The sequence below is a fragment of the Homo sapiens genome, chromosome 6 (genome assembly GCF_000001405.40).
Source record: "Homo sapiens chromosome 6, GRCh38.p14 Primary Assembly".
Lineage (NCBI taxonomy): Eukaryota > Metazoa > Chordata > Mammalia > Primates > Hominidae > Homo > Homo sapiens.
Window position 1 is genome coordinate 168,037,760 of NC_000006.12, and position 25,574 is coordinate 168,063,333.

General features: G+C 58.0%; 2 protein-coding genes and 1 long non-coding RNA gene across 19 annotated transcripts in view, besides 2 other annotated features; 1 reads left to right on the plus strand and 2 right to left on the minus strand.

Moving 5' to 3' along the window:
- Positions 1-7,332, plus strand: part of KIF25 (kinesin family member 25) — a 47,421-nt gene extending 40,089 nt beyond the window's left edge. For 3 of the 5 annotated variants that reach the window (NM_030615.4, XM_047418749.1, XM_047418750.1), the window contains 5 exons: positions 794-970; positions 2,306-2,457; positions 4,210-4,392; positions 4,802-4,957; positions 7,068-7,332. In NM_030615.4, the coding sequence (NP_085118.2) occupies positions 794-970; positions 2,306-2,457; positions 4,210-4,392; positions 4,802-4,957; positions 7,068-7,237 (838 nt within the window). In that variant the 3' untranslated portion in view covers positions 7,238-7,332. The remainder of the gene's footprint in view (positions 1-793; positions 971-2,305; positions 2,458-4,209; positions 4,393-4,801; positions 4,958-7,067) is intronic. The other 2 variants (NM_005355.5, XM_011535803.4) reach the window with 1 other exon arrangement.
- Positions 7,333-7,434: 102 nt separating this feature from the next.
- On the minus strand, positions 7,435-8,403 carry LOC105378135 (uncharacterized). Its single transcript, XR_943283.2, has 3 exons — positions 8,331-8,403; positions 7,879-8,019; positions 7,435-7,551 (listed from the first exon to the last, which is right to left on the minus strand). It is a non-coding gene; the product is annotated as an uncharacterized LOC105378135 (long non-coding RNA).
- Positions 10,658-11,157: an enhancer, noted in NCBI's record as "H3K4me1 hESC enhancer chr6:168449097-168449596 (GRCh37/hg19 assembly coordinates)". NCBI's record gives its function as "activates a minimal SCP1, AML or CMV promoter by ChIP-STARR-seq in naive H9 embryonic stem cells {active_cell/tissue: H9 hESC(naive)}" and the evidence as "EXISTENCE:reporter gene assay evidence [ECO:0000049][PMID:30033119]".
- Positions 15,336-25,574, minus strand: part of FRMD1 (FERM domain containing 1) — a 39,962-nt gene continuing 29,723 nt past the window's right edge. For 9 of the 13 annotated variants that reach the window (XM_011536143.2, XM_011536138.2, XM_011536137.2 and 6 more), the window contains 6 exons: positions 25,135-25,200; positions 24,912-24,980; positions 24,048-24,222; positions 23,002-23,298; positions 21,365-21,429; positions 15,336-19,580 (listed from right to left, as the gene is read on the minus strand). In XM_011536143.2, the coding sequence (XP_011534445.1) occupies positions 19,338-19,580; positions 21,365-21,429; positions 23,002-23,298; positions 24,048-24,222; positions 24,912-24,980; positions 25,135-25,200 (915 nt within the window). In that variant the 3' untranslated portion in view covers positions 15,336-19,337. Of the gene's footprint in view, positions 19,581-19,745; positions 19,965-21,364; positions 21,430-23,001; positions 23,299-24,047; positions 24,223-24,911; positions 24,981-25,134; positions 25,201-25,574 lie in introns of all 13 variants that reach the window. The other 4 variants (XM_017011317.2, NM_024919.6, NR_110312.2 and 1 more) reach the window with 3 other exon arrangements.
- Positions 21,152-21,653: an enhancer, noted in NCBI's record as "H3K4me1 hESC enhancer chr6:168459591-168460092 (GRCh37/hg19 assembly coordinates)". NCBI's record gives its function as "activates a minimal SCP1, AML or CMV promoter by ChIP-STARR-seq in primed H9 embryonic stem cells {active_cell/tissue: H9 hESC(primed)}" and the evidence as "EXISTENCE:reporter gene assay evidence [ECO:0000049][PMID:30033119]".

Sequence of the window (25,574 nt, forward strand, 5' to 3'; positions counted from 1 at the left end):
TTGAGATGGAGTCTTGCTCTGTCTCAGCTCACTGAAACCTGCACCTCCCAGGTTCAAGCGATTCTCCTGCCTCAGCCTCCCGAGTAGTTGGGACTACAGGCATGCACCACCACGCCCAGCTAAGTTTTGTATTTTTGGTAGAGATGGGGTTTCACCAGGTTGGCCATGATGGTCTTCATCTCTTGACCTCATGATCCACCCACTTCAGCCTCCTGAAGTGCTGGAATTACAGGTGTGAGCCACCGTGCCTGGCTGTGCAGCTGCTTTTTAATGAGCCCGAGCTGGTTTTACGGGTCTTGCAGGAAAGTTGCAGTTGGAAGGCGTAAGTGGAATTGGAATAAACTCTGGACTGAAGCTTCCCTGAAGTGGAAAAGTTTTAAAATAAACAAACCCCATCACTGGAGAAGTGCTAGAGTCCTGAACATCCTTGCAGCTTGCCTTGGGTGTCTGCAGTGATTGGTCAATGGGGCATGGTAATTTCTAGACCACAGCCATGGGATAGTCAGGCTTCTTCGCCCTGTGTGTTTAGAATCCTCAGTGTACTGGTTGCAAAAGTGTTGGTTTAAATATAACTCTGATAAAATAACTGCTCCCAAGACACGTATTCACCCTACAACCTAAATGGCACACCCTATTTCCCTGAGTGATCTTCGGGTATGTAACATGCAGCCCTCTGCTCGGACCCCAGCAGTCTTACTGAGCATCCTGTAGGGCGTCTGGGGCTATGATTGGCTTACACTGAAAATCACTCTGTGAGACTTTCTGTAAGTTTCTCTTGTGTGTTTTCCCGCAGGCTCATTTTGGAAAATACCTCAAGAAGCCCAAAGGTTGAAGTCTCCATAGTGGAAGTTTACAATAATGACATTTTTGACCTTCTGGCCAAAGACAGCATTGCAGCAGTGTCGGGGGTCAAGCGTGAGGTGGTGACAGCCAAGGATGGACGGACAGAGGTTGCGCTGCTGGCCTCTGAGTGAGTACTGCACCTGCCCCGTGCTGCTGGCCTCTGAGTGAGAATGGCACCTGCCCCTCCCACCTGGTCAGGAGGCTGCACGTCTCTAAACGAGCTCCCCACGCCCAAGGATCCCAAGGAGAATCGGCCGTGGTGGCCCGATCAGTGCTCCTTGTCACTGAGTGGTTCCTTGTGTGTTTTCATGCTTCGTATGTGTTGCACAACTCTCAATTTGCTGTAAGAATGATCTTTCTTTAAAGGTGGCTATGTCAGGATGATATATTTGTTAATTAGCTGGAATGGGTGATCATTTCACAATGTATTCGCATATCAAAATATCAAGGTGTATACCTTAAACATACACAATTTTCATGTCATTAATATCTTAAAGCTGTTAGAGATAAAAGTAAAAAAAACCACAAAAAATATTTTTTACAATCAAAATTAAAATAAATAAATGTATCTTTAAAAAAACCTTCATAAGAGCCCCTCAGATGGGCGTCATCCCATCTGACAGATGAGGAAGCAGACTTGTGGAGGTGAAAGAACTTGCCCACCCCACTCAGGCTAGGAGAGATGAACTCATCCACATTTGTAAATATCAGTATTTCACAGAATATGATAATGAATCCTCTTGTAAAAGTGAGGATCCCCCATATTAAGTATTTTCCTCAAAGTTCCCTATTGTCAAATCCACATGGATGTGCTGGGTTTGCCCCAGTGGGGGTGCAGCTGGGAGGTGACAGAAGGAACCCTCCCCATGAGTGAGGGCCCAGTCAGGCTGCCCATCCTGGGCCCCGGAGGCAGCAAGGGAAGGGCCCACCAGCCATGCTGAATGTTTCACAGAGCTGAAGGAAATCATCCATGCAACCCTGATACGGTCACACAAAGTCGCCCAAAATTTGAGCCTTTGACTGACAGACTGTGATGGAAATGTTATCTCCTGCTGATTAAGAGCTCTGATTAGCAGTCATATCTCATCCACTAACACGGAGAAATGGGTTAAACCTTTATTTTACAAATCAGATTTGATACACAAAATATTTTTAAAACATGGTTCCTGGAGGCTCTAATAAATAAAGGAATAGGTGATGTTGAAAAGGTTAGCAACCTCTGATTTTGTTCTGAAACAGTCCATTATTTCAGGGTCAGCAATTAGAGATGCTATAGGTTGGTTAGGTCTCAAAAGGAAAAAGTTTGCTTTACCATGATTTATTGTGCCTGAGACTGGCTTCAGTACCCCACTGGCACGCGTGGCTCATGTGAGAGGCTTCCCTGAGCCGAGGAGTCTTGGAAGTCGCCTTAGGTAAGGGGGGCCGCCCTCACTGTGTTCCCCACTGCTTGCCTTGTCTGTAGGGCTGTCGGCAGCGCCTCGAAACTGATGGAGCTCGTTCATGGAGGTCTGCAGCTCAGGGCGAAGCACCCCACCCTGGTGCACGCGGATTCCTCCAGGTCTCACCTGATAATTACGGTGACTCTAACCACAGCCTCCTGCTCTGACAGCACTGGTAAGTCACCATTTGTGCTTGGTCAGTGGCAAGTAATAGAAAAACCCACTTAAGAAGAAAAAAATCAGGCCAGGCACAGTGGCTCACGCCTGTAATCCCAGCACTTTGGGAGACTGAGGCGGGTGGATCACCTGAGGTCAAGAGTTTGAGACCAGCCTGGCCAACATGGTGAAACCCTGTCTCTACTAAAAATACAAAAATTAGCTGAGTATGGTGGTGCAAGCCTGTAATCCCAGCTACTCGGGAGGCTGAGGCAGGAGAATTGCTTGAACCCAGGAGGCAGAGGTTGCGATGAGCCGAGATTGTGCCATTGCATTCCAACCTGTGCGACAGAGCAAAAACTCTGTTAAAAAAAAAAAGAAGAAGAAGAAGAAGAAAAATCAGCATGCCTGCAGCATCCAAGGCCTCTCATGGGACCCAGCATGGGAACAGCAGCCACACCTTTTCAGTATCTGCATCCCAAACCCAAAAGTCCACTGGGATCCCAGGCTGAGAAGAAAAAGTGAGAGTGGGAGGGAGGAAAACACTCTGCTAAATAAAATATAATGCAGAAAGAAAAGCAGGGCATAATACACCTTGGAGTACATGCATTTGTCATGGAAGAAACAATGAGTGTAATTTCAGTTTAAAACCAAAATTTCAAACTATGTAGTATATAAAATGATTCCAGTTATGTAACAGAAAGAACACAGGCCTGTGAAGCCTGGGCTGCAACTCTCAAACTTGAGCTGCGTCCAATTCCCTGCAGCAGGTGGTGGGAACTAATAGCAGACACCACCCATGCTCAGGTTCAGCAGGGCTGGGACTGGACCCAGAGTGTGCGTTTCTGCAAGGATGCGGCTCCGGGGACCACACCTGGAGAGCCACGGGTCTGGGGCCGGAACATGAGACTGTAGTCCCATCAAAACCTGGTCTCAGTGGGTTGACACTGGAAAGGCCATTTCTCACTCATATTGAAGGCCAGTGTGGCTGAACATTCCCCATCCTTCTTGCCACCGTGGCACTTGAAACATTTGGCCTCCAAGGTTGCTCAGGCAAGGGAAGGAGAGGTGACGGGGAGGTGCTGACAATAGCCCCTGGCCAGCCCAGAGTGGGCCACAGCTGGGCACACGGCCTTGTACCGCAGGGGCTGGAAAGGCACAGGCGTGTGATGTTTAGGGAACACCAACAATCTCTACCAAAAACGCTCCCGATACAGGGGCGGTGTGGCTGCCAGTGGTGGTGGGAATAAGACCGGATTTCATGTCCTTTAAAAAAAATTGTGTATACTTTCTATGTTTTGCACAGTGAATAAATGTTATTTTGCTTTTTTAAAAAACCTAAGAAGTTTGTTTAGGAATAACACACTACAAAGACATTTGCATTAAAATTAAGAGCCCTTTTGTTAGGATTTGTGTGGAAGATTATCGAACAGATTGTAGAATTTATTTCTAAAAGGGCTCATAGATTTTCTGAGTGGGATTTTAATTAACATGATTACCAAGTCTTCCTAAGAAGCATTATTTGATTTCCTCTGGGCCAATTAGGCATTAGTTCAACCTTCCACAGTGAAGAAAGCTGCTTTCTAACTTGTGTTTTCCCCCAGAGAAGCCACTATCCCCTGGACCTCTGCGGAAATCCCACTTCTTACTGGGTGGGAGGTGTGGGCAGGAGGGTGCAGTTCAGAAGCTTCTCGGCTCTGACTGAGGCAAAGCACAGCCTCATGGCTTCATGCAACTGTTTTCCTCCTCGTCGCTCCTTGGTCCCTTGCAGCAGACCAAGCCTGCAGTGCCACCCTCCCCAGGGAGCAAACAGAGGCAGGAAGGGCAGGAAGGAGCCGCAGAGCTTCTCAAGGGGCCTTGGCTCCACAGCTGGTTCCTGGGAACCCCGCAGGGCATGCGGAGCAGGTGCAGGCTCGACTACAGCTCGTGGACTCGGCCGGCAGCGAGTGCGTTGGTGAGCAGGGGCAGGCATTTCCCTGGGGGGTGGGTGCTGCAGAAGCCTATGATCTGATGGAGCTGGATGTGCAACCAGGCAGCCCGGGAAGCTCTGGGCGAGCCAGGCATTTCCCCCTCCACAGGTGAGTTCCAAATCCCGTTACATTCTCAGGGATTGGTTCTCTTACCCCGGCAACCCGAGAGTCGTGTTCCTCACACGGGCCCTCTGGGAACAGAAAACCTGAGTTCCCAGCAGGAGCTCGCTTTGAGCTGTGAGCAGAGCCATGAAAGACACTCACTCTCATGCCTGTCCCGTCCATGGCCTCCCCTCTACCTGCCTGAGAGCCGCTCCTCCCAAGGAGCCGGTTTTGCTTTTCCTGCCTCCTTTCTTGGTGCAAACGGTGATGGTGCGTGGCGGTCCTGTCCAGGTGTGTCTGGAGTGACCGGGTTGGCCCTGAGGGAGATGGCGTGCATCAGCCGCAGCCTTGCGGCCCTGGCAGGCGTCCTGGGGGCTTTGTTGGAGCACCGTGGCCATGCCCCGTACCGGAACAGCAGGCTCACCCACCTCCTTCAGGACTGCCTCGGTAACCGTTTTCCCCAAAATGCCCCAGGATGGGGGACCACGTACCCCAGGACATGTGCACACACTTCTGGCCTGCACGTCCTCGAGGGCCACCCATGCACCCCCTGCACCTCCTGTGTCCTCGCTGTGGCTAGCTGGCACTCCCACGGCACGGTGGTCATTCTCCTGCGCCGTCTCACCTTGGCCTGATTGTGTGCTTGTTCGGTCTGTGTGTGACTTGCCTCCTGGTTGGGGCTCAGTTTCTCAAGGGTGGCAGCCCTGGCCTTTCTCTTCACCAGGGGTCCGCCAGAGCAGCTGAGGGCTCTCTAGGCTGCTGCTGCATGTGTGGCCTGGGTCCCTCCGGCTGTGTAGACCTGCTTAGGCCCCAAGTTCCTTGGGTCTTTTGGGGGCAGGTGCCAGAAGCCTGGACGCAACAGATTAAGCACCAGTGCCAGGTGGGGCACAGGCGGCCCCTGTGTGGAGTCATCCAGCTGTGGCTGGATCTGGGCTTTGCGGTTTTTGGGGAGCTCAGTTAGTGCCCCCTCCCCCGACTCAGACTCCAGACTGGTTGAAAGGGAGGACCCGAGGAAGCATTGCGGCTCTTCCTGACTCAGGGTGCAGGCAGAGTCCCCCAGAGGTGGCCCTGGGCCCTGTAGGCCGTGTCCTGAGAAACGGCCACTGCAGGACGGCAGGGGCACATGGCCACCACAGTCGGGGGGCTCCTCCTTCCTGGGAGGGCCACCCTGGGAGGTGGTGGAGGGGCCGCTGGTGCTCGGGACTCGGGGAGGCTGGAATGTTCCAGACACTCTCCCTGTCTCTCATTGTGGGGTATTTCCCCCTCTCATGGCAAATTGGCTTCCTCCACACGGTGAATAACAGGGCTGTTCACAGGAGCATATTTTTGGATTCTGCCTTTAAGAGAGAGACCACCTGGTACTCTTGGATTCCAAAGTTCGCAGCCCCAACAGAGAGACAGGGCGACCTGGGTCAGGGGCACAGCCCACCCGTGATCTCAGGGGCGGCACCGTGGGGCACACAGTACCTGAGAGCCAGCAGGTCCCTCATGGAGCCCTGGCCTTGGCCTCTGGGGTCTGCACTTTTCCTCCCCCTTAGCTCTCCCTTCCTTCTCCACTGTTTTTGGTTTTCATCTGTAATTCTTAACCCTCGTTACGGGTCCTGAAAAACAGGAAGAGACAGCATTCCTCAGGAGGAGAAGTCCTGGGCACACGGCCCCTGCCCCAGGGGGGCCTGAGGGAGCCACAGGGCCATGGGCCGTGAGCAGCAGGTGTGGGCATGAGGGAGATCTAGAAAGAACAGCCCCAGGGGGCTGAGCGTCCCTCAGGGTCATGTGCAGACTCAACCTAGGGCTGACTTCATACCTCCCAATTCCCGGGACACAGGAGTGTGAGTAGAAGGCCTGCAGCTTCCCCAGGTGAGGGGCGCTAGTGACCGGCTGCTGACCCTCCCGGACCCAGGTGAGGGGTGCTAGTGACCGGCTGCTGACCCTTCCAGAGGGTGAGGGGTGCTAGTGACCGGCTGCTGACCCTCCCGGAGGGTGAGGGGTGCTAGTGACCGGCTGCTGACCCTCCCGGACCCAGGTGAGGGATGCTAGTGACCGGCTGCTGACCCTCCCGGAGGGTGAGGGGTGCTAGTGACCGGCTGCTGACCCTCCCGGACCCAGGTGAGGGACGCTAGTGACCGGCTGCTGACCCTCCCGGACCCGGGTGAGGGGTGCTAGTGACCGGCTGCTGACCCTCCGGGACCTGGGTGAGGGGTGCTAGTGACCGGCTGCTGACCCTCCCGGACCCAGGTGAGGGACGCTAGTGACTGGCTGCTGACCCTCCCTGACCGGGGTGAGGGGTGCTAGTGACCGGCTGCTGACCCTCCCGGAGGGTGAGGGGTGCTAGTGACCGGCTGCTGACCCTCCCGGACCCGGGTGAGGGGCGCTAGTGACCGGCTGCTGACCCTCCTGGACCCCCGTCCCAGGAACCTGCCAGACGTGGCCACTTTCCCGCTGGGGCGCCGGGCGGCCCTCTCTGCAGCCGCCCATCTCGGGCCCTGGTTGCTGGCATGTTGGCACTTTCAGATGCTGCTCTTCTTTCCAGCTTGCATGTTGTTTTTCTATTTTAAAGGAGGCGATGCGAAGTTACTGGTGATTCTCTGCATTTCTCCCAGCCAGAGGCACCTGGCACAGACGTTGCAGGGCCTGGGTTTCGGGATCCGAGCTCGGCAAGTCCAGCGAGGCCCTGCCCGAAAGAAGCCGCCCAGCTCCCAAACGGAGGGGAAGAGGAGGCCGGATTGAATGCATTAACAAGTTTTTCTCCTAAAACTGTGTTTCTTGTCCTTGCTTTATAATGCATATGTGCTTAGAAATAAACAGGTTTCACGTGGACTCAATAAACCTGGCTTTATTCCAAAGCACCCTCATGAATGTGGATGGGACCTCCAACTCCTGCCAGACCATCAGGCAGGGCAGGCTTCACAGAGGAGCTCCTTGCAGTGCGGCGGCCACCAGGTGTCACAGCAGGCACTCGCTGTCCTCATCAGACTCTCCCCAGAGGCCACCCTGGGCCCTGAAGGCCCTGCCCCGGGAAACTCGGGAGCCGGCAGAAGTAGCTGTGGGCAGGAGGGCAGGGGGCGTGAGTGCCCCACAGTGGGAGCTGGTCAGCCTGGGCCCAGTGCAGATCCCACCCGTGAGCTGGGGAGGTGCTGCTGGGCACGTACGGCCCCAGAGCCACCAGGCCTCACACAGAGCTGCCACCTCCGCCTCCTCGAGTTCGTGCTTTTCCTTTCCCCCCAGGCTCCCTCTTTCTTCACCACTGTTTTTGGTTGTCCACCACACTCCGCATGAGGAGCTGTGCCAGGCAGGGAGGGGGCGTCTGGGGCCAGCCTCACGAACCTGTCGTCTCATTTGACACAAACGCGGCCCCCAGGATTCCTCACCACAGGCTCCAGGACCAGATGGACTCTGGTTTCCATGGTGGCTCTGCCACCTCCCAGCTCTGCATCCCTGGACGGTTTGCTTGGCCTCTAAAGCCTGGCTTCCTCCTCGGCAAAGCCAGGTGAAACCAGAGGGTTGGGAGCCTTAAAGGAGACAAGGAGCAGCTCTGGAGACTGGCCTGTGACTTCCCCTGCCGTGGGGCTGAACTGGCACGTTTAAGCCCCACCCCACCACAGGGCTCCTCTCCGCCTCACAAGGGGATGCATGGTGACAGCTGCCCACCGCGTCCTCTGCTGGAAGGGTGCCCCCTGGGGCTGCCCCCATTTCCACCGGGCCCGCAGTGACAGATGTACCCTCTCGGACCCAGCAGATCCAAGAGCAGGGTCCCAGGAGGAACGCATGTGCGGAGGAATGGGGGGTCACAAGCACAGACCAAGAATACCCCATTTCTTACCAGCAACCATTTTGGCTCTGAGAATTGGCTGGGAAGCAGGTTTTGGAGAGGAGTCACAGCTGGTAGCTTTCAGATGATTTCAATGCCAGGAAAATGTTTTTTTTTTTTTACTCTATCCTGTTTATGCAAGAGGGAGGTAAAATGTCTTTTCTAGTAGTTAGCACAAACCAAGTAAACCTGTGCCCACATGCGGCTCAGGTGAGGAGCGTGAGCTGTGGTGGTCCTGACTCATGGCGGGCAGAAGGGTAGGAACCCCCTCCCTTCCTGGGAGCCCAGAGCAAGGGGTGGAGACAGGCAGGGGGTGTTCAGAGCCCAGTGTGCTAACGGCCTTTTCCTGTACTCCTTTTCCCAGGGCGGAGCATTCTGCCTCACTGCGAGTGGGGACCTGGCCCAGGCTGCTGGGGTCCAGCTTTTAGTCAGGGTGGCCAGGAGGGCAGGTGCACGGGGCATCATGCGCTGAAGACAGAGATGCTGGGCTTCTCCCTGCCAGGAAAGGACTCAGCCAGTGGGGCTGAAAGCAGAGACATCTGCTTCAACTCATGGTTTTTAATATAATTGGGTAGAGATGATAGACAGTAGATAGGTGAGATGATGGTGAGATGGTAGATGATCAGTCAGTGAACAGATGGCAGATCTGTAGATCCATGGATGATAAACTCATCAGCAGATAGATCAGATTTAATCTCATATATAAAAAATATGATCGTTTCAATGTGTAATCAATATGAAATCAATATAGAGATATTAATGAGATATTCAAGATTCTTTGTCCACACTAAGTCTTCAGAATTGGTGTGTTTCCCACTGACTGACAGCGCCCCTCAGCACAGGCTGGCTGCGAGCTTAGGGGGCCACAGGTGGGCAGCCCACCTAGCCCTGTGCTGAACCCCACAGACAAATGCCTCCATTTTGTAACACCACCTATTTTTAAGGATCCCTTGATTATCCTAAAGTGAAATTATACATAGATTATATAATCCTAACAGAGCATGCCTTTTTTAAAAAAAAAAAAAGAATCAATATAATGATGTAACTATAATATAATGGAGAAATAGGCCAGATGCGGTGGCTCACACCTGTAATTTCAGCACTGTGGGAGGCCGAGGCGGGCGGATCACTTGAGGTCAGGAGTTTGAGACCAGCCTGGCCCACATGGTGAAACCCCGTCTCTTCTAAAAACACAAAAATTAGCTGAGCATGGTGGCAGCTGTAATCCCAGCTACTCAGGTGGCTGAGGCACGAGAATCACTTGAACCTGGGAGACTGAGGTTGCAGTGAGCCGAGATCGCATCACTGCACTCCAGCCTGGGCGACAGAGCGAGACTCAGTCTCAAATAAATAAATAATAAAAATAAAAATATAATGGAGAAATAAAAAGTTTTTTTCTGTGTATATACACATAAGTATATTTCAATTCGTAAAACTTTCAAAACAACTACATCTGAACACACAGCGAAGTAAATGAGTTTCGGTATAAGAAGGAAGACAATATTCAATTTATGTATATTCGACAATTTAAAAATAAGGGCCAAGTGACTGTATCTGTGTGTGTGTGTGCACGTACATGCATGTAAAATCTCCAGGAATGTGGCCGCTACAAAAAGCAGACAGACACACAGACATGGAATTGTCACAAGTGTCCCATTTGTGACTCACATGTCACCAGCAGTATAGCAATGTGATATAATTTTGTACATGGTGAAAACCTCTTGGTAATGTTACAAAGTTTCAGCTTCTCTTGGTTTACACAACTGTTGCATTCCTGACACATAATGTACATTAAAACTGCAGAAATAATCCTTCCTGATTTTATGGAGAGCAGTGTGAGGTTTCAGGCCTGGATCACCAAATGCAGGATTTCCACCTGTGAATGTCTGACGGGGGCTAAAGCCACGTGGCCCCCGGGACAGTATTTGCTGGGTGGGAGTGTCCTGTGCCTTATGGGGACCTGGCGTCCTTGGTGCCTGTCTGCTCAATGTCACTTGTGTCCCCTCATCATTGTGATGACTTGAATGACCCCACAGGTTCTGAGATGCTCCCTCAGTGCCCAAAATAAAATCAAACTTCTCTTTAGGGTTGGCCCTTAGGCAGGCAGATGCCCCTGGCTCAGGAAGCCCCTCACCGGCTTGCTGAGGTGCGAAGTTCCTTTAGTAGGACAGAGACACCAACGCACAAATGATGGACTCAGGAGGTGGCAGCTCTGGTGAGATGGAAGCTTCTCTGTGGAGCCCGCACTGAACAGCAGTGCCAAGCAACAACTGCCGCCAGGCCCTGCCGTCCTCCTTCTGACCTTGAAGGGCCCGAGCTGCTGCCATAGCGTGACCGAAGGGACAGCCTGGCTGAGCCGCGTGACACTCGACAAGCCTTCTTTGTGTGTTTGATGAAGTTCCTCTCTGAGCAAGGCCGGCGTTGTGATAACCAAGCTGCCTTTGTAGAGGATGCGTGGACGCCTCGCCCCACAGCTGCGTGGGGCCCACAGTGGTGCCCCGAGACGGGCACCGTGTGAAAATGGCAGAGCTTCCCTCTGGGGAAGTGTTGGACCGGCTCTGGCCAGCCTCTACGCGGGATGGCAGAGGCGCGAGTGACTCAGGAACCTGCCAGTCACAGCCTAGAGCAAGGGCGTCTACAGAGACTGGGAGTTGGGGCAGTGGGCGTGGGGGGCGCTTGGGCCCCAGGCACCGGACCCCACTGCCTGCCACCCTCGACGCCCCCACGCTGCAGACTGGAACCCTCTGCCCCATCACAGGGCGTGCAGCTGAGTCCTCGCTTCCCAGGTTTTCGTCTGCCTCTCACTCCCAACTCCTCATTTCCTAGAAGGAAGCCTGGGCCCAGTCTTCACCCTGGTCCACTTGGCCACACCCAGAGTGCCAGGGTTTCAGAGCAAACCAGCCCAGTCTCCAGGGTGTGGGGCTGCAGGCACTCACCCCACCGCTGGCCACCACCAGTGATTTCAGTGGCCCATCACCGTGGTGCTGACACGCTGCCCCTAAGAAGGGAGAGGGAGGGACGGACCCAGGAAACATACAGAAAAAAAACCCAAAACTAGTCAGTGACTAAAACTCAAAGACGTCCCATCAATTAACAGCTCTGCTCTGGGGTTACTATCTTCATGTTCATTAGCTTCTTCCTCTTGGCTCAGGGCCTCTGAAGGTGTTTAGGATCAACCCATTTGAAAAGCAAGGACGCTGAGGCTGTGGAAGTCCACGTACTTACTGACTCGCAGCGCCTGTGAGTGGGCGGGAAGGAGCGTCTGCCCCTCAGTCGTGGTCCGGCTCCTTCTCTCACAGACGTGGACCTTTGGAGGGCAGTCCCAGCGCCACGGAGAAATGCATCTCCAGAAACACTCGTGGCTTCCTCAAACTGAGCACAACCAGACCTCCCCAGCGCTGACCTACGGCACAATTGTTCATGCACGAGAGCCGCCTTATGGGGTGAGTGCGTGACTCTGGTGCGAGGTTTATGTTCCCAGGGCTGACATGTCTGGGAGCTTCACAGCTGGACGAGGCATATTTGGAGGGGCGCCTTGAACCTGGACAGCACCCCCTCCTTGCCTCCCTCAGGCCGTTTGGCCACAGAACCTGTGACATGGGCAGGCTCAGGAGAGGAGAGGAGGAAGGGAAGGAGCCCAGGCCCCGAGGAGGGAAGATTGCCGGGGGCCAGGGTGGGGGTGGGGTGGGGTGGGGGCCCAGGGCCCAGGGCTGGGGCAGCTCTGGGTGCCAAATGCGGTTTCGTCCAGAGGACACTGCAAGGCTGGAATGAAACACCCTGTCCTCTTCAGCTTGTAGCGGGTCAGAGGCCGCTGGTTTTGAAGAGATTTGCCAGTGATCTGTGGGAGGAAACACTCAGCAGAGGTTTAGGTGGCACGTGGAGACTGTGCGGGGAATACAGCCCAAATGGGGAGGACAGAAGACACCACAGCCACCCAGGGTGTGAGAGCTGCGACAGGCGCCTGTTAGAGCGGAACCACAGGGGCCCGGCCCCATCTCGGGGTCCGGGGTGGCTTCCCTGCGGGGGCGGCCTCTGTGCAGAGGCCTGAAGGGTCCACAGTGGCAAAGGGGGAATGACAAAGTGTCTGCCTGTGCCGGACCGAGTGATCTGTACTATAATTACCCTGTGAGGGGCGCACGCTGCCGTCCTAGAGCGTCACAGACACCAGCCCCCGGGCCTGTTGGTACTCGCCGGAGGTCCCTGCGTGCCCAGAGTCCCGCCCTGGCCATCGTTTAGTGTGAGGCAGGAGGGGGCCAGATATGGGGGGGACGCCTGGCTCCCCCAGATCTCTCTTGCCTGCTCTTTCCTCCGCAGGCTGCCTGTGCCCCTCCCCCGTAGCCAGGAACAGGCCCTGGGGAGTGGTGGGAGGCCGTGCAGTGAGGCTTGCGGCCCTGGATGCTCCCTCAGGACTGTCTGGGACCAGGCTCGTCTCACAATCCGAATTAACTGCAGACCTCACTTCGAGAACAGCCTGGCCCAGCCCTGATACTCGGGGAAAGAGCAGCGGTCGGAGGAGGCAGGAGGAGCGCACGGAGGGCAAGCCGGGGGCCCATGTGTGGCTGGGGCAGCCGTGGCCTCCTCAGCACAGTGTGAGCCCAGCAGCCTTGCCGTGGCCAAGGCCCTGGGCCTGGGAACTTGTAATCCAGTCGCTGACTTTGCTTAGTTAGCAGAAATGGAAGACACCTCATTTGTGGAGACCGAGGTGGTGGAATGTTGACCCTGGGGGTGTTGCTGTGGGAGGCCAGTGAGCTGTTAGCCCAGTGGGCAGGACCTGGGTGACCGACGCCCTGGGGGTCTCATAACTCCCTGGACCTTCTCCTTTCTTGGTGGAGCTTGGCCAAAACCCACGGATATTTTACATCTGTTTCCCTGAAGTGCTAGGGACGTTCTGTAGTTTCAGCCATGCTCCTCGGGCAAGCCCCGGGATGGGGTGGGGGGGGCCAGAACAATGTGGGGTGGGCGTGGCCGGACGCCAGCTGCCCCTCAGCAGGGGCTTCAGCTCCATCACAGCCATGTGGACTGTGGCTCAGCCTGGGTGGACAAGGAGGTGTATACAGTTAGCACAGCCAGAGCAAGCCAGCCCTGCCCACTGAGGTGCACAGAGCACCAATCCGCTGGCCCTCCCTCCCTCTTTCACCTGTTCTGTGCCCATTTATTGGCTGCCTCCTGTACCGGGGTCTTGCTTTGGCACCGAGGAAACTGCAGTCAAGGCCGGAGGCTCCTGCCTTGAAGATCCCAAGACCGGGATGGAGACTGATGAGCCGGATGTGTCCCAGCGTGTAATGCAGGGTGGGCTGAGTGCGCCCCCCGACGTCTGTGTGGGAATCCTCACCAGCAAGGCCATGGTGTTAGGAGGGGGTGCCTGTGGGAGCCGGTGAGGTTGTGAGGATGGAGGCTCACGGGTGGGATTAGTGCCTTTGTAAGGGGGGCCCTGGGAGCTCGCAAGCCCCTTCCGCCCTGAGAAGACGTAGCGGCCAGGGAGGGGGCCTGGACCAGGAATGGAACTGGCCGGCACCTCGATCCTGGACTTCCAGCCTCCAGAATCATGAGGAGTGGGCAGAGTGAGGCCACACGGCCTATGAAGATCTGTTGTAGTGACCAGAGGGAAGACACAGTGCAGTGGACACGCCGGGGCTGGTGTGTGTCCTGCAGCCTCTCTGGGAGCCCAGGGCACCTGCTCCCAGGAATCACATGTGAGAAGCAAAACACAAGGACAGGCTGCGGGGAGGCGGCCCCGGACCCCCACTGGATGCCTCACTTCACACACCTGCCACCGAGGGGGACAGTGCCGGCCTCCCAGACCTGCACCCCAGCCCACAGGTGGGCACTCCACCCATGCACTGTCAGGGCTGCCAAAGCCTCATGCCCTCCCACCACCTTCTGCTGGGCAGCCCCTTCCTCAGAGAACAAAGAGCATTTTGGTTTTTTTTTTGAGACAGGGTCTTGCTGCATCGCCCAGGCTGCAGTGCAGTGGCATGATCTCAGCTCACTGCAGCCTTGACCTCCTGGGCTCAAGTGATTCTCCCACCTCAGCCTCCCGAGTAGCTGGGACCACAGGCGCCACCATGCCCGGCTAATTTTATTTCTATATTTTTTGTAGAGATGGGGTTTTGCCAGGTTGCCCAGGCTGGTCTCAAACTCCTGGTCTCAAGTGATCCGCTCACCTTGGCCTCCCAAAGTGTTGAGATTACAGGTGTGAAGCACCGTGCCTGGCCATAAAGAGCATCCCGGAGGCTCCTGAGGCGCGTCCTCCTCCCAGCCCACCTCCTGCAGAGGCCCCCATTGGAGGCCGGCCTGTTCCCACTGTTACGTGTTCCCATGTCCGCTCAGGAGGGAGCCTGGCCCGCACCCCACAGGGCACACTCCTGCATCTGGCTCTGAGGACATGCTTCTTCCTCTTCTCCCACTGCGCCAGGCCCTGCCGCCGCCCCAACAGCGTGGATGTCCAGGGCTGTGGGCGGACAATGGCCCTGATGTCCAAGGACAGACAACAGAGGGTGCGGCGAACAGGTCCCCACTTGGTGACGGTGACGTCCAGTTCCTGCTGCGTGCACTGGTTTGTGACAGCAGCAGTGGCTGAATGGAGAGAACCACACCCCTGCCAGCGGGAGGCCTGGCTGGTCACCTGAGCACAGATGCCAGGGCAGAGCCAGGAGGGGACTCAGGATGAACACTGCCACCCTGGGGCGGCTGGAGAACCAGGCATGGGCCGGCGGCGAGCCGGGAGGGAGCCCCAGCCTGTGCCCAGTGGCCCGGGGGCCTCATCCGTAGCCAGGGGATGTGAGCAGGGAATGGCAGCCGCTGTGTGACCCAAGGTTCTGAGATCAGAGGAGTCCTCACCCTGGGCCCCGTTTTGAGGCCTGAAACTTCCATGGTTAGATGGTGATGGGGAGCCCTCCTTCAGGGCAAAAGATAAGATTACAAATTCTAAAGTATGAAAATAAATCTAAATACAGAAACATTAAAAAACCACCACATCACAAAGTTTAAAAAGCTGAAAAACACAGTAACACAATATTTGGTGACGGTTTTATTGGTGAGCTGCCTGTGATTAATAAACAATTAACCCGCGCCATTTTCCCCACTGCGTGTTCACCTCTTCACGCGCCTTTGTAGAATACCAGCTTTCTCCCGGCAGGGCTGCCCCGGATTTGTTTTCTAACCTTGGCACCTGGAAGGCAGCCTCCCCATCACAGCTCGCCGCCGTGAGAACGGTCATGGGCCCGGCTGCAGGACCGGCATTGCCTACCACGTCCAGCCTCCCACTGCCAGCTCTGTTTCTCTTCCAGTCCCCACACCTCCCAGGTTGGGAGTACATGTCCGCCTCACCAGGTGACCTCTGGCCCTGGCCATCCTGTCCTGAGACTCCCTGCTGCTCCTACAGGTAGAGACGACATGACTGGGAACCCCGAAACGTCTCCCAGCAGACCGAGCCAAGTGTGTGTCCAGTTCAGCCTCCCCTACGCGGGCCCCACACACCCACAGGGCCCTCAGTGCCCCTCAAGGCGAAAGGAGCGTGACGGATGAACCCTGAGTGGAAGGGGCCGCCTGTCCCAAACACGGACGGCTTTTTCTGCAAGTTTTACAAACTGATAAACCTTTGTGAATGCACTCGCAGGGCCGCAGAGCTCAGCTTTCCCCGTGGCTCTGGCACATTTCCCCCGCCTGGGGAACCCAGAGTCCATGGGCCACGACGGGCTGATGCTCGGCTTGGGAACCACCTCTCCTGTGAGATCCCAGACACACAGGCAGTTGCTGGCTGCCCCGGGCCTCCCAGATGGGCACCTGAGGACCCCGGCCTCCTCCTCCTGCTTGGGGTTCAGCCCAAGAGCAGAGCTTCTCAGGCCGTCAATTACTGCAGATGGAGCAGGCTTTCCTGGAGGAAGGATGAGCTTTGTCTGGAATTCTCCATCTTCCGTGAGGGAGGCTGGGCTGATGGCTGAGGGCCCAGAGGAGTCCATGCTTCAACACAGGCAAGAGGGAACCGGCCACACCCTGCCCAGGGCCACCCTGTCACCACTCCAGACCAACTGCCCCCAGGAGCAGGGTCTGCCGCCTCCCACACCCCACCCAGCAGGGAGAGCTGCGCCCTCAGACCCAGACCCCCGCAGCAGCAATGCAGGTTCCGGGGCCCAGCGAGACCCACAGAAGCAGACGCAGTGGGGGGCTGAGAAACCCAGCCTGAACAAGCTCTCTGGGTCGTTCTTGCGAGTCTGGACCTGCCAGCTTGACCGCTGACCTGGCCCGGGCCACAGGACTGACCACCCCAGCCGGGCTCATGCGAGGCTGTGATGCTGGAGGTCCTTGGCCTGCTCCTTGGGGGTCCACAGGGACTGGGACAGGTGGTTTTCTTTTCCTCTCCACTGACAGGGTAAGACAGGGATTGGGGACTTTACCCTGTGCCCCTCCCCCACCGGCCTGCCTCATGCCACCTGAAGGCCACAAGCCCCCCTGTACACAGCGGCTTCTGCTGTTTGCAGGCCACCCCCAGCCCTGCCCCCCACCCTCCTTCTTAGGAAACATCCCTGTCCCTACCAGTCGGTGTCCATTTTTCTGGAAAATAGCCGTATTGCCTAAAAGACCTCTGATCTCAATCTGTGCAAAAAGAAAGGTTGGCTTCCCCGACTTCCCGCAGCCCCGCTCTCTGCTGCTTTCTGTCTGGGAAGGAGCCCCCTCCCAGGATGGCCTTCTGCTTCCAGCTCCGCTCCTGCCCCTCCAGGTGTGGGTGACGTGGAAGGGGGCTGTGGGGAGGGGCGGTGAGCAAAGCTGAGGCTCAAGCCTTAGGGGAGTCTGCCCCGGCCCCGGCTGGGTGTGTCTGAGCTGGTAGCCCACATGGGCTTCATGTGGCCTGCCTGGCCGTCCCCTCTTGGGCAAGTCTCAGGGCAGCGGGCCTCTAATTGTCCTCTCCACATACCCTGAACACCAGAGATTAGAGTCTTTGGAGCAGCCCTACCCGGTAGTTAACAGGCATCTGGCATAATTCTCCATGTCTGTCCACAAGGCCCAGAGGAAGGACAGAAATAGGAATCCCCAGTGGGGCCAGAGAAGCTTCTCGGGTCAGCCAGGGGCCATGGCTGCCTCGCCTCTGCCAGGACACAAGGCGCCGGGCCAGCTTCACTGATGCTTCCACAAGTTAGGGGTGGGCTGGCCCGGCCTTTGCTGCCCCTGGGGTCTATGGCGTGTGGCGAAGGTGACTGGCAGGGGAAGCCTGGACATGGGGAGTGTGCATGTATGGATGTGTGCATGTGTGTGTGTGCATGCGTGTGCATCTGTGTGCAGATGTGTGCGTGTGTGCATGTATGTGTGTGCATGCATGTGGATGTGTGCATGTGTGCATGTAGGTCTTGGCTCAGACCCTGCTTCATGGTGGACACCACCTGCTGTGTCTCCCCAACACTGGTGTGTACCTTCCCTCATGGTCCATGGGACTGGGCTCTTGCTTCCAAGTTTCTTCAAAGGAAGAAGATAGTCATTGCCCCGGAGCGGGGCAAATCAATCATCTTGTACTAATGGGAATGGCTTTGGGAAGTGCCCACATGCTCACATCTGAGCCAGCACTAGGCGCACCTCCCCTGCCGCACAGGAATTGTGGGCAGTCTTGCCCTCGGCAGCACTGGGGCTTGTGGCCATCTACAGAACGCAGCCTTCTGTGGCCGATGCCCCTGAGTGAGTTACAGCCGGCATCTCACCAGCCCCCCAGGCAGGCTGGTCCTGGTTCAAGCAGGAGGCATCTGCTCGGGTTCTTTATTACACGTGCCTGGGGCACACACACGATTCCCTTTCACAGAAAGGAGAGGGTCCCCCTGGATGGACCCGTCAAAGAGGCGGCCTCAATGCACGCAGCCCTGCACCAGGCCATGGGGCTCAAGCTCATGCTTGTCTCCAGTGAGCTGGAGGGTGGTGTGGCGTGGTCTTCACCACACACAGACAGTGAAGGGGGCAGTGGTGTTCAGGGCACAGGGCTGAACGATTGTGGCCTCTCAGTGCTCTGGGATGGGCCTGAGACTAGCAGGGATGCACGGGCCATTCCTCTAAATGCAGAGGACAGCAGGTTTGCACGTGTGCAGGAGTGTTGTGCAGGGGGAGGAGCCCTGGGGAGACCCTACCCTGGTGGCCTTCCAGAGCCCACAGAACCGAGGTCGCACTACCCGTGGAGCCCACCGGATCAGAGCAGGTGCCATGCACAGCTAGTCCCCCACTCTCCGTCTGTCACCAAAGCTTCGCCCCTCCGCCAGCTGGGCTGCACCAGCCCAACCCCAGCCAGGGCAATGGCTTAAGGAAGCCACCTGTGAGCAGAGTGGGTCCTGAGGCCTCATGGCTGAGATGGGAGCAGAGTCGGCTTCAGCTCCGGGGCAGTGGGGTCTTTGGAAGCCCTGGCTTGGAAGGGAAAGCACAGCCATTGACTGTGGATGGTGGAGGAGGGTCTCTGGCTGGATCTCAGGTGACAGAGCTGGGCTTGCACCACAAGAGGGGCCTCTGTCTGGCAGGCCCAGCGCTTGCAAACAGGAGTTGCAGAGAGGGGTTCAGGTCTGGGAGGAACCTGGGTCCTGCACAGTGATGACTGTGAACTCCGGCTTGGGAGCTCTGGCAGCCTGTGCCCATCAGGACTGTCTCTTGGGGAGCTGACAGTGTGGGAAACTGCAGAGCTGTCTCTCCAGGGTCTGGGCCCAGCTGTGTCACCTTCTCTCCCAGATTAGGATGGGTGACAGGCTGCCTCAGGGGCCAACACCATGGCTCTCTGGACACTTGACAGCCAGACCTTGAACTGGCTCCCTGAGACCCTGAGGGAAAGAGCTCCCGGGTGTATGGCAGACAGGCATGAGGTGCGGGACCTGTTTGTTACCTCCCAGGTTGATGTCAGAGCCAGCTCCACACCTCTTACAGGTGAACCTGTGGAGCGTGCTGGCTGCGGAAGTGCAGGCAGCATCTGGCGGGCAGGAAGGGACGAGGGCCATGTGGAAGTGGGGTGGGCAGGGGCTGAGCCTGGCGGTGCGGACGGTACTGCTGGGTGGGTGGTGCCTACACCACAAACTCCTGTGGTGGAGCCTCTCCGAACAGGTCCAGGGCGAGACAGTTGCTGGACCTCTTGCTGGGGAGAGTGGCCCTGGTCTCGCAGGGGCCTGCCAGCCTGCAGTCCAGGGCGCGGTGGAAGGTATGGCTGAGTGAGGTGGGCGCTGGGTGCAGGGCCAGCTGGTGCAGCTGCATGTCGTCCAGGCCATGGCTGTGCTGCTCCTCACTGACCCCGGCTGTCATTTCCTGGATCTGCGGGGAGAGGCCATGGGATGAGGCCTGCTGCCCCCTCTCACTCCCACCACCGCACACGGCAGCCACACTGCTTGTGGCCACAGAGCCACACTCCCTGCCAATGCCCACCCTGCGCCGCAGTGCATGGCCGGCCTGCCCCTGGACGGGTCCCCCAGCACACACCTCTGCGAGAGAGGCTTGGCATCTTCCTTTGATGCATTTCAGGAGGCCCCCACCTTGCCCAGCTTCTTTCCTGGGGCTGCTTTCTGCCTTTTAACTCAGTGGACCTGGACTCTTAGCGTTTGGTGTAATTTAGGATCAGGTCTGAGTGTGGGCCTTGAACACTAGCTCTGGAAGCACCTCAGTGGTCAAGAACGGCCTCCTATTTTATACGGGAGGAAACTGTCTGGGTTCAGAGGTGACTGTCCAAGGTCCCGTCCAGGTGGGCGGCCAGCGGGCAGCGTCATCGCCCTTAAGTGAAGCCTCCAGCCCGAGCTTCTCGGCTGCCGTGGCCCCTCAGATCTGCCTTGGACCACTGTGCTCCCAGGAGGCAGATGAGGCCCCTGGTGGCAGGTGGCAGGGGCAGGGGCAGGCCACGCCGAAGATTGCCCAGCGCCAGGGTCTGACTTGCCCTTCTACGCGTGTTTCCTTGTTTTTAATCAATACGTCTTTCAAGAGTGACAGTCCCTGGCCCAGAGCTCAGGCGGCTTCGGGCAGCCGTCTCCTCCACTGAGTGGGCTGACCTGGGTTTGGGATTGCCCCCACTGGGATGGGCCCGCGCCTGCCAGGACTTGCAGCCTCCCCTCCCTCCTCCCGTGCCCAGCCCTGTTCTCTCTCCATCCAGCCTCCGGTGCCCAGCCCTGTTCTCTCTCCATCCAGCCTCCCGTGCCCAGCCCTGTTCTCTCTCTCCATCCGCCTCCCGTGCCCAGCCCTGTTCTCTCTCCATCCAGCCTCCCGTGCCCAGCCCTGTTCTCTCTCTCCATGCAGCCTCTCGTGCCCAGCCCTGTTCTCTCTCTCCATGCAGCCTCTCGTGCCCAGCCCTGTTCTCTCTCTCCATCTGCCTCCCGTGCCCAGCCCTCTTCTCTCTCCATCCAGCCTCCCGTGCCCAGCCCTCTTCTCTCTCCATCCAGCATCACGATAACTAATCAGCCACAACCGATTTTCTGTGTCTTTCCAGGGGGATTCTGAACAGGGCTGACCAGAGGGGGCCTCACCCTCCTGTGGTGGAGCCGGGGGCGGGGGTTGGGGGGTGGGGAGGGCAACTCGGAGCCTGGCTGGGAACCCTGAGCCCACCTGTTCCCCACCTGGGCATCCAGGAACCACTGGCTCGCTTCTCCTCTAGCTCCTCTGGGGGATCCTAAGGCTCAGTAGCTCTACAGGAAGTGGGGGAAGCCTGGAGCAGCCCTGCACACACAGCACTAGGCCCCGGGTGGAGGAGGTGGACGAAGGGGACGGGGCAGCCAGTCTGCTGCATGGCAGGTTGCAGGGCCCAGGTGTCCGGGTCCTGCCTACAGTGGCCCGGTGACACTCAGGGCCCGGCCACCCCAGCCCCAGGCAGGACCCCTCCCTCCCCACAGTGAGCCGACTCACTCGGCCCTGAGGCTGAGGCCTCCACCCACGTCCACCTGCCCCAGTGCCCGAGAGCCTTGCTGCTCCCTGACTTGCCCGCTGCGTCTCTGGGGATGTCAGTCGAGGGACCCTCTGATAGGCCTAGGAAGGTCCCCAGGGCCCCTGACAGGGGACCTAGGAGAAGGGGGTGGAGGAGCAGGGCCAGGGCTTCTGGCCCGTGGGGGGGACTCTACCTGGTGCACGGCCTCGGCGCTCTGGCCTCTGGTCCTGACCTGGGTGCAGGGCTCCTGACGAGTGGCTGTGGGAGGAGGCAGCCGTGAGCACAGGTGTCTGGGTTCTGCCCGACATGGCTCCTCCCCAGGGCAGTTCCCTGCACTTCTGGGGCCCTGGTCTCGGACCGGCATCTCCTGAGGCTCACACCGCCCCCTTGCTCTCAGTGCGGTGACTGCTTTTGCTCCATTCCCCGACATCTGATAAAACGGCCCCTTGCTGTGCAGATGCGGGATTAGCACGGTGATTCCCGCTGGGTTACAGGCCACAGAGCTTGCATACATCCTCAGAGATGGAGGCCAACCATCCCTTCCTGGTGGACCAGACACTCCAAGGGCAATGGCGGACACAGTGGCTTAGTGACAGGAATGCCTGGCCCTGGGAGGCCCTAGGTGATGTTTTGTGACCCTGGATGGCCCTGGGTGACTGTAGGTGATGCTGGGCGGTCCTGGGTGACTGAGCCCTGGGGCTGGTCCCACCTGATCTCATCACATCCACCGTCAGGGCCGTGGGGACACTCAGAGACCAGCAGAGCTCACGTCCCCTTTCTGGGGCAATGAGGAAGCTCTTCAGGGCCTCATACACAGGGACTGGGCTGGACGCATCCCTCAGGACAGGGTGCTGCATCCTGGGCCAGGTGCACACACAGTCCTACACACAGGGAATGGGCAGGGTGCATCCCTCAGGACAAGGTGCTGCGTCCTGGGCCAGGTGGACACATGGTCCTAGAACACTCTGAATGGCTCTGTCTTCTCACTCCTACTCAACTGAGTATAAAAAGACATGAGTCTAACCCAGGCTTTCTGATGGGAGGGAAGCTGGTAGGACAGGGCTTCCTAGGAGTAGGGGGCTTCCTAGGAGTGGGGGGCTTCCTAGGAGTCAGAAGGCTTCCAAAGAGTTGGGGGAGTTCCTAGGAGTCCACGGGGCTTCTTAGGAGTGTGGGGGGGGCTTCCTAAGAGTTGGGGGGGTCTCTAGGAGTCCAGGGGGCTTCCTAGGAGTGAGGGGACTTCTTAGGAATGGGGGGCTTCCTGGAAGTGGGGGGCTTCCTAGGAGTGGGGGGTTTCCTAGGAGTGGGGGTCTTCCTATGTGTGGGGATGGGATTCCTGGGAGAGGGAGGGGCTCCCTGGAAGGGGAGCTTCCTAGGAGTTTTGTTGGGGGGCTTCCCGGGATGGGGAGCATTCCTTGGGAGGGGGGTTCTTCCTAGGAGTTGGGGGGGTGCTTCCTAGGGGCCAGGGGCTTCCTAGGAGTGGGAGGGGCTCCTGAGATGGGCTTCCGAGAAAGCTAAAGGACCTGGACTCATCTGCAACCCCAAGAGGATCCCACCTCTCCTGTCTCTGATCCCAGCCTGCAGCTGCCCCTTGGCAGGAACAGGAGACTCGGGCACAGCAGGCTGCAGGCAGCTCCTCCCTGCCATCTCTGTTCTTCCGGCATGTTCTGGCACATTTCCTGGGACTCAGGTCACAAGCAGCCCAGCCCCTCACGTCTGGCCACTGGAGGGCAGGCCAGGGCTTTGCTGCCTCGGTGTCCAGGGTCAGCCAAGCTGGGGCTGGCTGGACCACACTCACTGTCCCTGAGGCCTGGGCATCTCCCTCGGGCCCACCTTGGCTGTCACCACGTGTGCTGGGGTGGCTGCGGCTGGTCCTGGGGCTGGAGGACGGCTCCTTCTCATGGAGCCCGTGGACCTCCAAGGGCACGTCCACAGACATCTCTCTGGATTCCCTGAGCCAGGAGTTGGCCTTGATGCCTGACGTGTAGGAACTGCCGTGGCTGTCGGCGGAGTGGCGTGAGAGGCAGTGGGGGCAGTGCTGGCTGCTGACCCCACTGCCCGGGAAGCTCCTGCTGGCCAGGTCCAGCTCCAGCTCATCGCTGATATAGGACTCCCGGTAGTGCTGCTTCTCTGTGGGGAGTGGGGAGCACAGTGAGGGCGAGCTGGAGAGGGACCAGCCCTGCTGATGCAGGAGGAAGAGCCCGGGAGACAGAAATGCACACCCACAGCCCAGATGAGGACGTGGAACAGGCAGGGAGACCAGGCCTGCGGGTAAACGCTGAGGCCAGGCCTTGTGCTCAGGTGAGGACGTGGAACAGGCAGGGAGACCAGGCCTGTGGTAAACGCTGAGGCGAGGCCTTGTGCTCAAGGTGAGGACGTGGAACAGGGAGGGAGACCAGGCCTGTGGGTAAACGCTGAGGCCAGGTCTTGTGCTCAGGTGAGGATGTGGAACAGGGAGGGAGGCCAGGCCTGTGGGTAAACACTAAGGCCAGGCCTTGTGCTCAGGTGAGGATGTGGAACAGGAAGGGAGACCAGGCCTGTGGGTAAACACTGAGGCCTTGTCGGAACCTGCATTTCTTGCTCTTTGTGGGCACATGATGGGAGGAGAAGTGGAAAACAGACCAGGAAACTGAGAAGTGGAAACCTCAGGTGGCTCCTCAAGCTCCCAGCTTCCCCCAGTCCCATCTATAGAATTCCACTCCAGGCAGAGCTGGGGGCCACCACTTCGCCCTTCGACCTCAGCATCTGGGGGACGTGGGAGTCAGGAGGCCACAACAATAAGAGACAGAAGGCATAGTCCGGCCAGAGCCCAGTGTGCCCAGCCTAGCCCAGAAGGCACAGTCCGGCTGCGGAGCCCAGCATACCCAGCCCAGCCCCACCTTCTGCCTCCTCCCGCTGCCGCAGCTGTTGCAGAGTGGGCCGCACGCGGAGGTGGAGCTGGTGGCTGGCGCGCAGCAGGTGCAGCAGGTGCCTGGACCGCCAGGTGCACCCCGTGTAGTAAACCAGCTTCTGTGCTGCGGGCAGCCCATCCAGCTGGATCTCCAGCTTCTTTCCCTGAGCAAACAGGAGAGAAGTTGCCACTCCACAGGTGGAAAACCACGCTAGCCACAGGAAAGGATGATTTTAAATGTCAGCCATGGCCCCCAGGGGGACGAGGCCCAGGTTTTCACTTCGCAGTGCAGATGGCTGTTGGCGGACACTGTGCGCGGACACTGTGCTCTGCTCCGCCCTTGCTTGAGAGGACACAGCCCTCCTGGCTAGAAAGTGCCCGCAGCAGTGTGAGGGGAGTGGAGGTCTGGGGTGGGACAGGAAGACCTCGGTCTGGCTGTCCAGAGCAAGCCTGCTGTCCAGCAGCCCCCACAGTCACTGCCCTTTTATCCCCGGCACCCGGGCTGTGGGGTGACCCTGGGTGACAGCTCTGGGGCCGGGATGAGAGGAACAGAGGCCACACAGGTGCGTTTCTATGACCTGCTCTTCTTTTCTCCCTTGATTTTCTCAATTGGGAGCCAGAAGTTTTCAAGCGATAACAACAACTAGACCTCACCGGGCAGCTAAACACCCCACGCCTGCAGGGCCAGGGCCAGGCACAAAGCCCGTGAGGCCAGGACGGCCCTGATGCCCCCGAGAGGCCGGCAGGAAGGGACCTGCACCTCTTCGGGTGCAGAATTGTCCAGAAAATGCCCCGAGGATGAAGCTGCATCTGCCCAGGCTTTCCAGGGCACGGGGACCCCCCAGACACCCACCAGAAATGCCAGCTTCCCAACGTGGGGCCAGGGGAGGTCGTACAGCAGCTGCGGAGCACGGTCCACCTCCTGCGGGACAGCAGAGGCAGGGCGCGTCCAGGCAGGGCCAGCCAGCGCCCATGACCGCTGCAGGGATGCTACACAGCCCAGACTCCAGTGGGGAAGGGAGGAGGGGGTGGGGGCAGGACGAGGGGCTCTGTGAGGCTGGAGCCCCTTCGGTCACCTGGTAGATGTGCACTCCCCTGAGGGCCAGTCCCAGGATCACGGTGGGACGACCTTCCTTCTTATCCTAGAGGACACAGGTCAGAGGTCAAGTTGCAGGCCTGGAGGTGCTGGGCCTCACTGATGGCAGAGTATGGTCAGTCTGGCTAGGGGCCGAGGGCTCCATGGACCAGGCTGAGCTCTGGGGCCCATTTACAGACAGTCTCATTCACTCCAGCATCAGATCAAAGGCATAGTTGTCATAGCACAAGCACTGCCTTTCATCATGCCAGATAAACACCAGCCACGACCTAAGAGAGCCTGGCCATGCCGGGCCCGGGGTCCTGGTCCCACTCAGCCACGGGGGCTCCATCCATCCCTGCCCTGGGGTCCTGGTCCCATCCCACTCTTAGCCACGGGGGCTCCATCCATCCCTGCCCCGGGGTCCTGGTCCCACTCTTA